General features: G+C 47.0%; 1 pseudogene, besides 3 other annotated features; it reads right to left on the bottom strand.

Annotated features, from left to right (window-relative positions):
• Positions 305–599: a silencer, noted in NCBI's record as "tiled region #9970; HepG2 Repressive DNase matched - State 3:PromF". NCBI's record gives its function as "represses a minimal TATA promoter and a strong SV40 promoter by Sharpr-MPRA in HepG2 cells {active_cell/tissue: HepG2}" and the evidence as "EXISTENCE:reporter gene assay evidence [ECO:0000049][PMID:27701403]".
• Positions 2,533–2,733: a silencer, noted in NCBI's record as "peak116 fragment used in MPRA reporter construct". NCBI's record gives its function as "represses an SCP1 promoter by STARR-seq MPRAs in K562 erythroleukemia cells {active_cell/tissue: K562}" and the evidence as "EXISTENCE:reporter gene assay evidence [ECO:0000049][PMID:32103011]".
• RPL29P6 (ribosomal protein L29 pseudogene 6) lies at positions 3,729–4,346 on the bottom strand (annotated as a pseudogene).
• Positions 6,393–6,593: a silencer, noted in NCBI's record as "peak115 fragment used in MPRA reporter construct". NCBI's record gives its function as "represses an SCP1 promoter by STARR-seq MPRAs in K562 erythroleukemia cells {active_cell/tissue: K562}" and the evidence as "EXISTENCE:reporter gene assay evidence [ECO:0000049][PMID:32103011]".

Raw genomic sequence — 12,936 nt, 5'->3', positions numbered from 1 at the left:
GCTGTGTTTGTTGCCCAGGCTGGTCTTGAACTCCTGAGCTCAAGTATCTTCCCACCTTGGCCTCCCAAAGTGTTGGGATTACAGGTGTGAGCCACTGTACCTGGCTAGTCTTTTGCTTTTTATTTATTTATGTTTTAGAGATGAGGTCTGTCTGTGTTACCCAGGCTAGCCTCAAACTCCTGGACTCAAGGGATCCAGTCTCCTTAGCCTCCCAAGTAGCTGGGACTGCAGGCACACGTGACCACACCCAGCTCATTAGTCTTTTTTTTTTTTGAGACAGAGTCTCGCTCTGTCGCCCAGGCTGGAGTGCAGTGGCTCTATCTCGGCTCACTGCAAGCTCCGCCTCCCGGGTTCACGCCATTCTCCTGCCTCAGCAGGTGTTAGCCACCACGCCCGGCCTCATTAGTCTTTTTAAAAAGCAAGTTTTCTCTATTCATTAACCACTCCATTCACTAACTAATCTTCTGCTAAGCTTTTGAGCCATCAGTCAGTTGAAAAATATTTGTTGAGTGTTTAATGTTTGCCAGAGCCAGTGCTAAGCCTATGGGTATAGTAGGGGGTAATCAAAGTAGGCAGGGGCCTTTCCTGAATGGATTTTATAGTCTAGAAAGGAAGGCAAATCGTCGATGAAAAATTACATAATTGTATTACAGTTGTGGTAAAGGCCAAAAAGCACAAATCTAATGATGCGCAATCTTGTGCGAGCAGAATGTGAGAAGTATGAGTCTAAAAGCAAGTATGAAACATCATTCATTCCAAACGTGAGTCTCAGAACTAAGAACTGGAATCCTGTGCACATGCTTTCCGATTCTGCACATTTATTTATTTATTTTTATTTATTTATTTTTGAGACAGGGTCTCACTCTGTCACCCAGGCTGGAGTGCAGTGGCGCGCTCTTGGCTCACTCCAACCTCCACCTCCCAGGTTCAAGCGATTTTCGTGCCTCAGCCTCCCGAGTAGCTGGGACCACAGGCGTGCCCAGCTAATTTTTGTGTTTTTTGTAAAGATTGGGTTTCACCCTGTTGCCCAGGCTGGTCTCAAACTCCTGATCTCAAAGTGATCCACTGGCCTCGGTCTCCTAAAGTGCTGGGATTACAGGCGTGAGCCACCATGCCTGGCTTTTTTTTTTTCAGACAGGGTCTCATTTTGTCACCCAGGCTGGAGTGCAATGGCACGATCATGTCTCACTGCAGACTTGACCTCTTGGGCTCTGGTAATCCTCCCACCTTAGCCCCCCGAGTAGCTGGGACTACAGGTATGCACACCACCATGCCCAGCTAATTTCTGCATTTTTTTTGTAGAGATGGGGTTTTGCCATGTTGCCCAGGCTGGTCTTAAACTCCTAGGCTCAAGCTGTCTGCCTGCCTCAGCCTCACAAAGTGTTGGGATTATAGATGTGAGCCACCCTGCCTGGTCTAGCAAATTTAAATTTAAATTGTTTGTTTGTTTATTTTAGTGTCCATTATGTGCGAGGTCCGAAACAGACATGATCCTTGTCCTCAACAAGCTTGCACTCTAAGTGGGGAGACAGATATTGAGCCCTTATTATGGGCCTGGCACCAGGTGAAGCACTTACGTGTATTATCTCATTTAAACTTCACACTAACTTTATCAGATAGGTACTATTATTATCCCCATTTGTCTTTTTTAAAAAAAAATTTTTTTTTAACAAGGAAACCAAAGAAGCCAGCCCATTTTTCTTTTTTCTTTTTTTAATTTTTTTGACGGAGTCTCACTTTGTCATCCAGGCTGGAGTGCAATGGTGCTATCTCGGCTCACTGCAATCTCCGTCTTCCAGGTTCAACCGATTCTCCTACCTCAGCCTCCCGAGTAGCTGGGATTACAGGTGCTTGTCACCACACCCAGCTAATTTTTGTATTTTTAGTAGAGACGGGGTTTCACCATGTTGGCCAGGCTGGTCTCGAGCTCCTGACCTCAGGTGATCCACCCACCTTGGCCTCCCTAAGTACTGGGATTATAGGCGTGAGCCACCGTGCCCGGCCACCAGCCGATTTTTCATATGGGAAATGGAGTCACAGATTAGTGAAGCAACTTGCTCAAGGTCACACAACTAGTTAGTGGTGGATTGGAGATTTAAATCCAGACAGTGAGGTTTCAGGGCCTCGCTGCCAGGCTGTGTGCTGCCAATCCGGCTGTGTGAGCCGCTGTTTGAAACTTCTTAGGCTCTTGGTCAGAAATTTGGAAGCATCATACTACAGAAGTGGTGGGAATAGCTTGAATTCAGGACAGAAATCCCCAAGGTTCGGAGGGGTTCCTGGGCAAAAAGAAAATCCCTTCCATTCCCCAGTGTTGGAGTTTAGCATATCTTACCCCATCATTTTTCAGATGAGCCACCATTTGGACCTACTCTGAGAACTCAGAGGAAGCATTTAACAAACTTCATGCACTGGAGGGGAAGGACAGTTATGGGGCACCCAGATTAGTTGGGCAGTGCCAGGCCTGTTTCCAGGATCACAGGAAGAGAGCAGCCACCAAGCACATGGGGCCCATGGGGATGGGCCTGGGAACAGGAGAGAACCATAGGAGGCCATGGGAAAGAGGTTACAGAGGCTACAACCCTGGGCTGGGACTCTTGTGGGTCCTGCTTGGAAGTGACTCACTGTGTGGCTTCGGGCAGTCACTGTGCTTGCCTGAACCTCGGTTTCCTCTTCTGGCTATTCCCACTGCTTCCACAGTACAATGGGTTGTTTTGTTTTTTAATTGTTTATTTCTATAGGTTATTGGGGAACAGGTGGTATTTGGTTGCATGAGTAAGTCCTTTAGTGGTGATTTCTGAGATTTTGGTGCACCCATCACCTGAGCAGTATACACTGCACCCAATTTGTAGTCTTTTATCCCTCACCCCCTTCCCACCCAAATGCTTTTTTGTTTATTTGTTTGTTTTTGAGACGGAGTCTCATTCTGTCGCCCAGGCTGGAGTGCAGTGGCGTGATCTCAGCTCACTGTGATCTCCGGCTCCTGGGTTCAAGCAATTCTCCCGCCTCAGCCTCCTGAGTATCTGGGACTACAGGCGCGTGCCACCACCATGCCCGGCTAATTTTTGTGTATTTTTAGTAGAGACGGGGTTTCACCATGTTGGCCAGGGTCTCAAACTCCTGGCCTCAAATGATCTGCCTGCCTCGGCCTCCCAAAGTGCATGGATTACAGGTGTGAGCCACCGTGCCCAGCGTGATGTTTCCAAATGCCTGACCAATTGCCTAGAATGAGGAAATGGAGGCAAGGTGTTTGACCTTGCTCAAGGTCACACGGCTAAGAAGTGAGGAGCCTGGACACAAACCCAGGTTCTCATCCCCACCTATCCCAGTCCTTCCCACTCTCAAAGGCCCAGCTCTCGCACTGAGCCAGCCTCCCAGAGCAGGGGACTAGCTTGTTCTCAGGTGACCTTTCTCCCTACCCCTCTAGGCCACCCCAAAAGCCCCATCAGGGCCAGAACTAGGTACCATCCCCTCACCCAGCCCAACCCACCGCTGGGCACTCAACAGGATGGGCTTGTGATTGGTGGATGCAACTATTTCCCTGAAAAATAAAACCAACCTGGCATTTGCAGCCTCAGCTGTTGGGGTGGCGAGCACTGCTTCGGTTACCTCTGAAATAATTAATGACAGTGCTTGTCCAATCTCACTTGAGGTGTGAGGAGCAGAAGAACAAGGGGGAGAGTTGCTGACTATGCCCCACGAGGGACTTAGAGGGCGATCTTTTTTTTTTCATCCTGCCTCAGGTTTATTTGTATAAATAGCACAGTAGGACCCCAGCCCCATGCAGACGGCAGCCCAGAGGGATCGCAGCAGTCCTTCTGTCCTCACACTGGCAGACAGAGATCTCTACTCTGAAGCCTTTGTAGGGGCCTGGGCACCTCTGGGAGCCCGAACTGGAACTGAAGCTGCAGCTGTAGCCTGGGCCTTCATTTGATCCTTGGCCTTGGCCTTTGGCCGGCACAGCCTGAGCCCCTTGACAATGCGGGCATGAGCACGCTTCCCAAGCTTGGGGTGGGCAATGTAGGCAAGTCGATCAAGCTTGCGGCTAACACCCTTTGGGATCTTGGGCTTAACCTCCTTGGGGTTTACGAGGGCCTCGATAGCCTCGGCACGTGCACTCACGGCCTTGGCACTGTTGGCCTGCATCTTCTTTAGGACCTTCTTGTTGTGCTTCTTGGCAAACACGTGTTCCTCAGGAACTTGGGGTCCACCCCCTTAAGGGATTCGTATCTTTGTGATCGGGGTTTCTTGAGACCATTTCTTTGCCATTTTCGGGACTGGTTGTGTGTGGTGTGGTTCTTGGACTTGGCCATATCTGCACCTTAAGCCGCGGCTCCCCTAAAGGCCTATGTTGATAAACTGGGCCTTAGAGCCTTGGCTGAGACAGCCCCTTGATTCTTGCTTTTCGGGCTTCAAGATGGCAGACAGTTGGCCCGCAGTTCTCACTGAACCAGCTAGTTATGTTATTACCTGGAAGAGACAACTCTAGACATGCTTTCCCTCCTACTCAGGCCCACGCATTCCCACACAAATGCACATGCATGCAGTGCCCATCCAGCTCACATCATGAGGTTACTCCCAGGGTTACAGCTCATTCAGGACAGAGGAACTGCTGTGACCTCACACTGCCACCTCCCACTTGCTGTGACTCCACTGAGCCTAAGGCCAGTGGCTTCAGATGTGGCATCCACCCTGTGCCAGGCTCACTAGAAGCATCATGCCTCTCACAAAATCTTCATGAAAAGGAGCTTATTCGCCCTCACCCCCAATTTCCAGATGAGGAGACTGAGGCTTAGAGAAGTTAAGTCACCTGGCCGGAATCCCATACATAGTATGTGGCAGAGATAGGGTTGAAGACCAAGTCTCTGGGACTCTGATGCACATAACCGGTAAATCAATCCAAGAAAGCCAGCAGGTTAGTGGAAACCAAGCTGGCTGGAGATTCCACTGCGACTAACCATGTAAGACTCAGCCCAGCCCTTCATGATATGTGGGAATGAAGCATCACAGGGATGTCACTGAGGAATGAAGCCCTATAACTGTCTACCCCTGCCAAAATAACAAAAATGCGACTCTTAGGGGCCGGAACAGAACTGACACCCAGGCAGCCGTGGGGAGCTGGAAGGGCTTCTACCCAGCTCCTTGAGGGCAGAGGCTGGCACTGGGTTCCAGGAGCCTCCCGTGCCTCCCCCTGCTCCTGTCTCTCTCATTCTGTTTCCCAAAACATCTCCTCTGATCTCTTTAACATCCTGGGAAGTCTGCATCTTTCTCACCTCTGCAGGAAGGTGCTTGGAGAGCCAAGGCTGTTGGGTTAAAAATACAGAACTTGAAATTTCTGAGGACAGGGAAAGCAACGTCCAACCTGCAGAGTAGGTCTCAGGGTGACAAGAGAAGCTCTTCCTGCTGTGTCTGAGATACTGAGAATTTGCATGAAAATCTTCCAGACCAGAGTCATCAGCTCAAAACTATTAAGCATTGTGACAACAAATAAAAACAAAGGCAATTTATTTTTAATACTCTTTTTTAAATTATGGAAGTTATGCATGGTCATGTGTAAAGAACATTTTTCTTTTTTTTGTTGCTGTTGTTTTTAGTTTAGTTTAGTTTAGTTGTTTAGTTTGAGATGGGGTTTTGCATTTGTCACCTAGCCTGGAGTGCATTGGCACAATTATAACTCACTGTAGCCCCGAACTGCTGGGCTCAAGCGATCCCCCTGCCTCAGACTATTGAGTAGCTGGGACTACAGCCTTGAGCCACCGTTCCTGGCTAATTTTTGAAGTTTTTTGTAGAGATGAGATCTCACTATGTTGCCCAGGCTTGTCTTGAACTCCTGGCCTCAAGCATCCTCCCACCTTGGCCTCCCAAAGTGCTGGGGTTACAGGTGTGGGCCGCTGCACCTGCCCATTCTTCTTTTTTTTTTAATGCCTAAACAAAGATATGTGCGTGTATGTGTGTATAGTGTTAGGATGTTTGTTCCTTTCTTTTGCTTTCTTTCCTTTTTCTACAAAAAGAATCATTCTATACTGTTCTGGAATATACTTTTTTCATTTAACAATACATAGCAGACAGCTTTCCAATATATTTAGATATATTAATTAATCTACAATTATATTAAGTAATTCACATGATTCAAAACTCCAGAGGTACACAAGAATATTCAAAAATGAGCCTCCCTCTCACCCCTACCCCAGGTACCCGGTTATCTCCCCAAAAGCTTCCAGTGTTACCTTTCTTGTGCATCCTTCCAGGGCTGCATTAAGCATGGATAAGCAATTATGTATATGCATTGCCCCCCATCCCCAGTTTTACATAACAGGATATACTGTATATCTTGTACATATAATACTGTTCTGCGCCTTGCTTTTTTTTTTTTTTTTTTTTTTTTTTCGGGACAGGCTCTTAAAGGCTCATGATTGTGCCACTGCACTCTAGGCCCAGACTTAGAGTGCAGTGACACAATCATGACTCACTGCAGCCTCGACTTCCTGGGTTCAAGCAGTTCTCCCGCCTCAGCCTCCCAAGTAGTTGGGACCACAGGCGTGTGCCATCACACTCAGCTACTTTTTGTAAGTTTTTTGGAGAGATGGGATTTCGCCATGTTGCCCAGGCTGGTCTCAAACCCCTAGGCTCAAAGGATTCGACCACTTTGCACACCCAAATTGCTGGGATTACAGGCATGAGCCACCGCACCCAGCCTGCACCTTGCTTTTTTCACTATAATACCATGTCCTAGCGGTCATTCATATTCATATGCAATATTTCATTCTTTTTAGTAGCTAGTAACATCCTATGTGAGATATGTAGACTCATTCATGCAGCTTTCTCTCACTGGTGGCCTTGTAGCTTGGGTCCAGTTTTTTTGCTTGTTGCGGTTATGAGTGCTTCAGTGAATCTCCTTGCACACATATCGTTAATAAAAGCACTCATAGTTTTATTTCCTAGAAGTGGAATTGCTGTGTCAAAAAGTATGCATTTTAATTTTTAATAATTTAGTTATGTATGCATGTTTTAAATTTTAATAAATAATGTCAGATGATTTTCTCAAAGGTTGTAGCAAGCTTTAAAGCATGAGTTTATGATCTGAATTGTATTTCAGTTTTTAAAAAAGAGCGATTTTTAAAAAATATTAGCTGGGTGTGTAGTGCATGCCCGTAGTCCCAGCTACTCAAGAGGCTGAGGTGGGAGCCCAGGGGTTTGAGGCTGCAGTGCACTTTGATGGTGCCTGTGAGTAGCCACTGTATTTTATGCTGGGCAACATAGGGAGGCCCCGTCTCTAAAAAAAAAAAAGGGTAGCGATTTGTGGCTCATTAACACTTCCCCATATATTACTAATTGTTTAAATTGTTGTCAATATTGTAAGAGAAAAATAGTATCTTCTGGTTGTAAATGTGTATTCCCTGACCTCCCTGTGAGGGTGAGCACGATCTCCTAAGTGTTTTGGCCACTTGCAGTCAACTGCTATGAATTCTCTGTGTCCTTTGCCCATTTTTCTTTTTCTTTTCTTTTTTTTTTTTTTTGAGACGGAGTCTCGATATGTCGCCCAGGCTGGAGTGCAGTGGTGTGATCTCGGCTCACTGCAAGCTCCGCCTTCCGGGATCACGCCATTTTCCTGCCTCAGCCTCCCGAGCAACTGGGACTACAGGCGCCCTCCACCGCGCCCAGCTAATTTTTTTTTTTTTTGTATTTTTAGTAGAAACGGGGTTTCACCGTGGTCTCGATCTCCTGACCTCGTGATCCGTGAGCCACCGCACCCGGGCATTTGCCCATTTTTCTAGTGGGTTCTTTGTCTTCTTCCTATGAACTGTTTTTTTTTTTTTTTTTTTTTTTGAGATGGAATCTCCCTCTGTCTCCCAGGCTAGAGTGCAGTGGCATGATCTCAGCTTACTGCACCCTCTGCCCCCCCGGGATTCAAGCGATTCTCGTGCCTCAGCCTCCCAAGTAGTTGGGATTACAGGCATGTGCCACCATGCCCAGCTAATTTTTGTGGGGTTTTTTTGCTTGTTTGTTTTTTGAGACGGAGTCTCGCTCTGTCACCCAGGCTGGAGTGCAGTGGCGCAATCTCCGCTCACGGCAACCTCCACCTCCCAGGTTCAAGTGATTCTCCTGCCTCAGCTTCCCAAGTAGCTGAGATTACAGGCACCCACCATCACGCCTGGCTAATTTTTGTATTTTTAGTAGAGACAGGGTTTCACCACGTTGGCCAGGCTGGTCTCAAACTCCTGACCTCAGGTGATCCGCCTGCCTCGGCCTCCCAAAGTGCTGGGATTACAGGCGTGAGCCACCTCGCCCAGCTCCTATGCACTTCTTAGGATAATTCTTTGTATGAACCCTTTGTTTTTGTTTTGTTTTTGTTTTGTTTTGTTTTTTGAGACGGAGTCTCGCTCTGTCCCCCAGGCTGGAGTGCAGTGGTGCGATCTTCGCTCACTGCAAGCTCCGCCTCCCGGGTTCACGCCATTCTCCTGCCTCAGCCTCCCGAGTAGCTGGGACTACAAGCGCCCGCCGCCACGCCCGGCTAAATTTTTTTTTGTATTTTTAGTAGAGACGGGGTTTCACCATGTTAGCCAGGATGGTCTTGATCTCCTGACCTCGTGATCCGCCCGCCTCGGCCTCCCAGAGTGCTGGGATTACAGGCGTGAGCCACCGCGCCCGGCGAACCCTTTGTTTTATGTGGAAAAATTTGTCCCTAATCTATTATTTTGGCTTTGTTAACAGTGTCGTTGCCATAAAGAAAAATTTATTTTTTGCATAGTCAAATCTGTCAAGCATAATATTTTAAGAAAAATAAATTTATTTTTATCTGTAAAAATACACATTTTTAATAGTGTGATTTCTATGAATGTTGATTTTGCTTGCTAGCCATATGCTTTACTATTCTAGGTAAAGTGGAAAATAGAAAATAACAATCAGTTGATAACATCAAGCTTGTTTACATTCCTTTGTTTCAAATGACTCTCCTGCCTCCAGACGATGATGATGATGGTGATGATGAAAACACCTACCCTGTACCAGGTGCTGTGCTAAACTCTTCACACACATTATCTCACTTCATCCTTACAGCAGCCTTTGGAGGTAGGGTTTTTTTGTTTTGGTTTGGTTTGGTTTTTTGTACCTTTTTATTTATTTATTTAGAGACAGCATCTGGCTCTGTTGTCCAGGCTGGAGTGCAGTGGCACAATCATAGCTCACTGTAACCTTGAATTCCTGGGCTCAAGTCAGCCTCCCACCTCAACCTCCTGAGTGACTGGGACTACAGGCGTACTCCACCATGCCCCACTAATTTTTTTTTTTTTTTTGAGACAGAGGGGTCTCACTGTGTTGTCCAGGATCATTTTTTAAATCGAAATACAATTCACAGATCATAAGCTTATCCTTTTAAAGTGTACCATTCAGGCCGGGTGCAGTGGCTCATGCCTGTAATCCTAGCACTTTGGGAGGCCGAGGCGGGCAGATCACCTGAGGTCAGGAGTTCGAGACCAGCCTGACCAACATGGAGAAACCCTGTCTCTACTAAAAATACAAAATTAGCTGGGTGTGGTGGTGCATGCCTGTAATCTCAGCTATTTGGGAGGCTAAGGCAGGAGAATTGCTTGAACGTTTTAGAGGTGGAGGTTGCAGTGAGCTGAGATCGTGCCATTGCACTCCAGCCTGGGTGACAGAGTGAGACTCTGTCTCAAAGAAAAAGAAAAAGATTTAAAAAATAAAGTGTACCATTCAGTGATTTTTTTTAGTATATTCACAAAGTTGTGCAATCATCACCATTATTTAAACCCAGAACATGTTCATCATCCCAGAAACAAATCCTGTGGTAGGTAGTTTTCATCACCATTTTACAGATGAGGAAACTGAGGCTCAGAGAGGCAAAGTAAACTGGCCAAGACCCCACAGCCAGGTCTGGGTTTGAGCCTAAGCCCCATGGCGTGGGGTGTCATCCTTCTCAGTGAGATTCATTGTTCTAGACCAGGAACTAGTACGCTATTCTGAAAAAGGCCAGATAGTAAATATTTTAGGCTTTATGGGTCATTCAATAGTTAGGGTTTTTTTTTTTTTTTTTAATCGAATTTAGGGCAAAACAAAGACAACTCCATATGAGGAAGTGATTTCTAAGTTCCTAAATATCTGAAAGTGGGTCAGGATTCCATGGGAAGTAGTCAAGCTGAGGGCAGGCAGCAGAGACGGTCTTAAAGAGTTGGATTCAGAACAGACCTATTGGAGCCAGGGACTCCAGTTCAAAGTTAGGAGCACCAGATGTGTGTGGCACCACCCAGCTCAGCAACCCCCTTGTTTAAGAGCACACCGGGCACACAGTAGGCCCTTTAGGTGATGTGTTGTAAGGTCTGACATTCATTTGCTGCCCTGGCATCTTTGAGCCTCATGGGGCCCCAAAGGCCAGTTCCCACCCTGCTAGTTCCCCCATCAGCCAGAAGAGCTTCACCCACCTGGTCCTCAACATACCCAGTTTCACCTTCCTGCCAGCCCAGGGAATCATTCAAACAAGCCAATCACATCCTCTCTTGGAAACTGGGAGTCACCACACCCTCTTGTTTACTGCCAGGCCCACCTCCCATGGCCCCTGTTTGTTCTGTCCCTGAGTGCAACCCTTCTGTGGCCCTGCAATCCGCTTCTGTTTGTTTTCTTTTTTGGTGTTTTCTTTTCTTTTTTCTTTCTTTCTTTTTTTTTTAAAAATTTTTCTTTTATCTTTTTCTGAGACAGGGTCTTGCTCTGTCACCCAGGCTGGAGTGCAGTGGCACAATCATAGCTCACTGTAGCCTTGAACTCCTGGGCTCAAGCAATCCTCCCACCTTGGCCTACCAAACTGCTGGGATTACGGGAGTGAGCCACCATGCCCAGCCTGCTCATTGGTTTCTTCTGCTTAATTTTAGTTGTCGTGTGTTCTGCCATTTTGTGCTATTCGGGGTGATGTCTTTCTGTCACCAATGGGCTGCATAGGAGGTAACTAGATCAGAGGGCATCTGCTTCCCTTTCTCAGCATCCGTTCCCTTTTCTCATGGGGTCAGCAACTTGATTTTCCTGTAGGGAGTCCCTCTCTCCCTCTCCTTCTCCCACTCAGGCCTTGTGGTTCAGGTAGAAAAAATAGAGAATGAATCCAGCTATATTTGAGTTGGTGCTATTCCTAGACATTTTCAGTTATGTGAGCCAATAAGTATTCTCTTCCCCTCCCACTTTTTTGGAATCTTAGTGCAAAAGAGTCTTGACTAACAATACACTCAAAAAAACGCAGATTGAATGAATAAATGCATTCCCAGTTGCTGCTATGCTTCTTGGCACATGGTAGGTCTTAATCTAATGAAGGCCTTCATTTAGGAGAGAAGAAAACTTATCTGTTGGAAACAGAGCCAGGTCTAAGATAAGAAGTCTAAGTTAATATGAAAAAAGTTGATCTAAGAGAGTGTGAAAAAACTTGGGGCTAGGCACAGTGGCTCACGCCTGTAATTCTAACACACTGGGAGGCTAAGACAGGAGGATCATTTGAGGCCAGCAATATGAGATCATTTGGGGCAATATAGAGAGACCTATCTCTTAAAAAAAAAATCCTATAATCCCAGCACTTTGGGAGGCAGAGGTGAGCGGATCACTTAAGGTCAAGAGTTCGAGATCAGCCTGGCCAACATGGCGAAACCCCGTCTCTACTAAAAATACAAAATTTAGCTGGGCATGATGGCACATGCCTGTAATTCCAGCTCCTTGGGAGGCTGAGGCAGGAGAATCACTTGAACCCAGGAGGCAGAGGTTGCAGTGAGCCGAGATTGTGCCACTGCACTCCAGACTGGGTGATAGAAAAAGACTCCATCTCAAAAAAAATTAAAATTAAAATTAAATAATTAGCCAGGTGTAGTGGTGCACACCTGTAGTACTAGCTCCTCAGGAGGGTGGGGTTGAGCCCAGGAGTTTAAGGCTGCAGTGAGCTATGATCGTGCTACTGCATTGCAGCCTGGGTGACAGAATGAGATCTTGCCTATTAAAAGAAAGAAAACTTTGGGCAGCACATTGTCACGTACTCAAGATCCCCAAGGAAGCCACTAAGAACCAGAAAGAATTGGTCTGCCCAGGCGGACCCTCCCTGTATCGGTATCACAGTCTCTTGCTGGTCCTGTCCCCTAGTATGGGTCATCCAAGCACAAGGCTTCCTTCCCCAGGTGTGTACAGTGGAGCTGGAGAGCATCACACGTTTGGTCATTCAGTCTTCAATGAAACAAGCCATCGGGAGGTTACCAAAGCACAACAAAGTCTCATTTCTAAAATAGTTCAGGCCAGGTGCAGTGGCTCACACCTGTAATCCCAGCACTTTGAGAAGCTGAGGTGGGCGGATTGCCTGAGCCCAGGAGTTCTAGACCAGCCTGGCCCACATGGTGAAACCCTGTCTCTACTAAAAATACAAAAATAGGCCTGGCGCAGTGGCTCACGCTTGTAATCCCAGCACTTTGGGAGGCTGAAGTGGGTGGATCACCTGAGGTCAGGAGTTCAAGACCAGCCTGATCAACATGGCGAAACCCCGTCTCTGCTAAAAATACAAAAATTAGCCGGGCAGGGTGGCGGGCACCTGTAATCCCAGCCACTTGGGAGGCTGAGGCACGAGAATCCCTTGAACCTGGGAGGCAAAGGTTGTAGTGAGCTGAGATCGTGCCACTGCACTCCAGCCTGGGTGACAGCGTGAGGATCTCTCTCAAAAAAAAAAAAAAAAAAAAAAAAATTAGCTGGGCATGGTGGGACACGCCTGTAGTCCCAGCTACTTCAGAGGCTGAGGTGAGAGAATTGCTTGCTTGAACTCAGGAGGCAGAGGTTGCAGCGAGCTGAGATTGCGCCACTGCACTCCAGCCTGGGCAACAGAGCAAAACCCAGTCTCAAAAACTAAAAAAAAATAATAATAATAGGCCGGGCTCGGTGGCTCATGCCTGTAATCCAAGCACTTTGGGAGGCCGA

This window comes from Homo sapiens, chromosome 1, assembly GCF_000001405.40.
Source record: "Homo sapiens chromosome 1, GRCh38.p14 Primary Assembly".
In the NCBI taxonomy this organism is placed as follows: Eukaryota; Metazoa; Chordata; class Mammalia; order Primates; family Hominidae; genus Homo; species Homo sapiens.
Note: the sequence above shows the minus strand (reverse complement) of the source record. Positions and strands in the feature narration are given on the sequence as shown.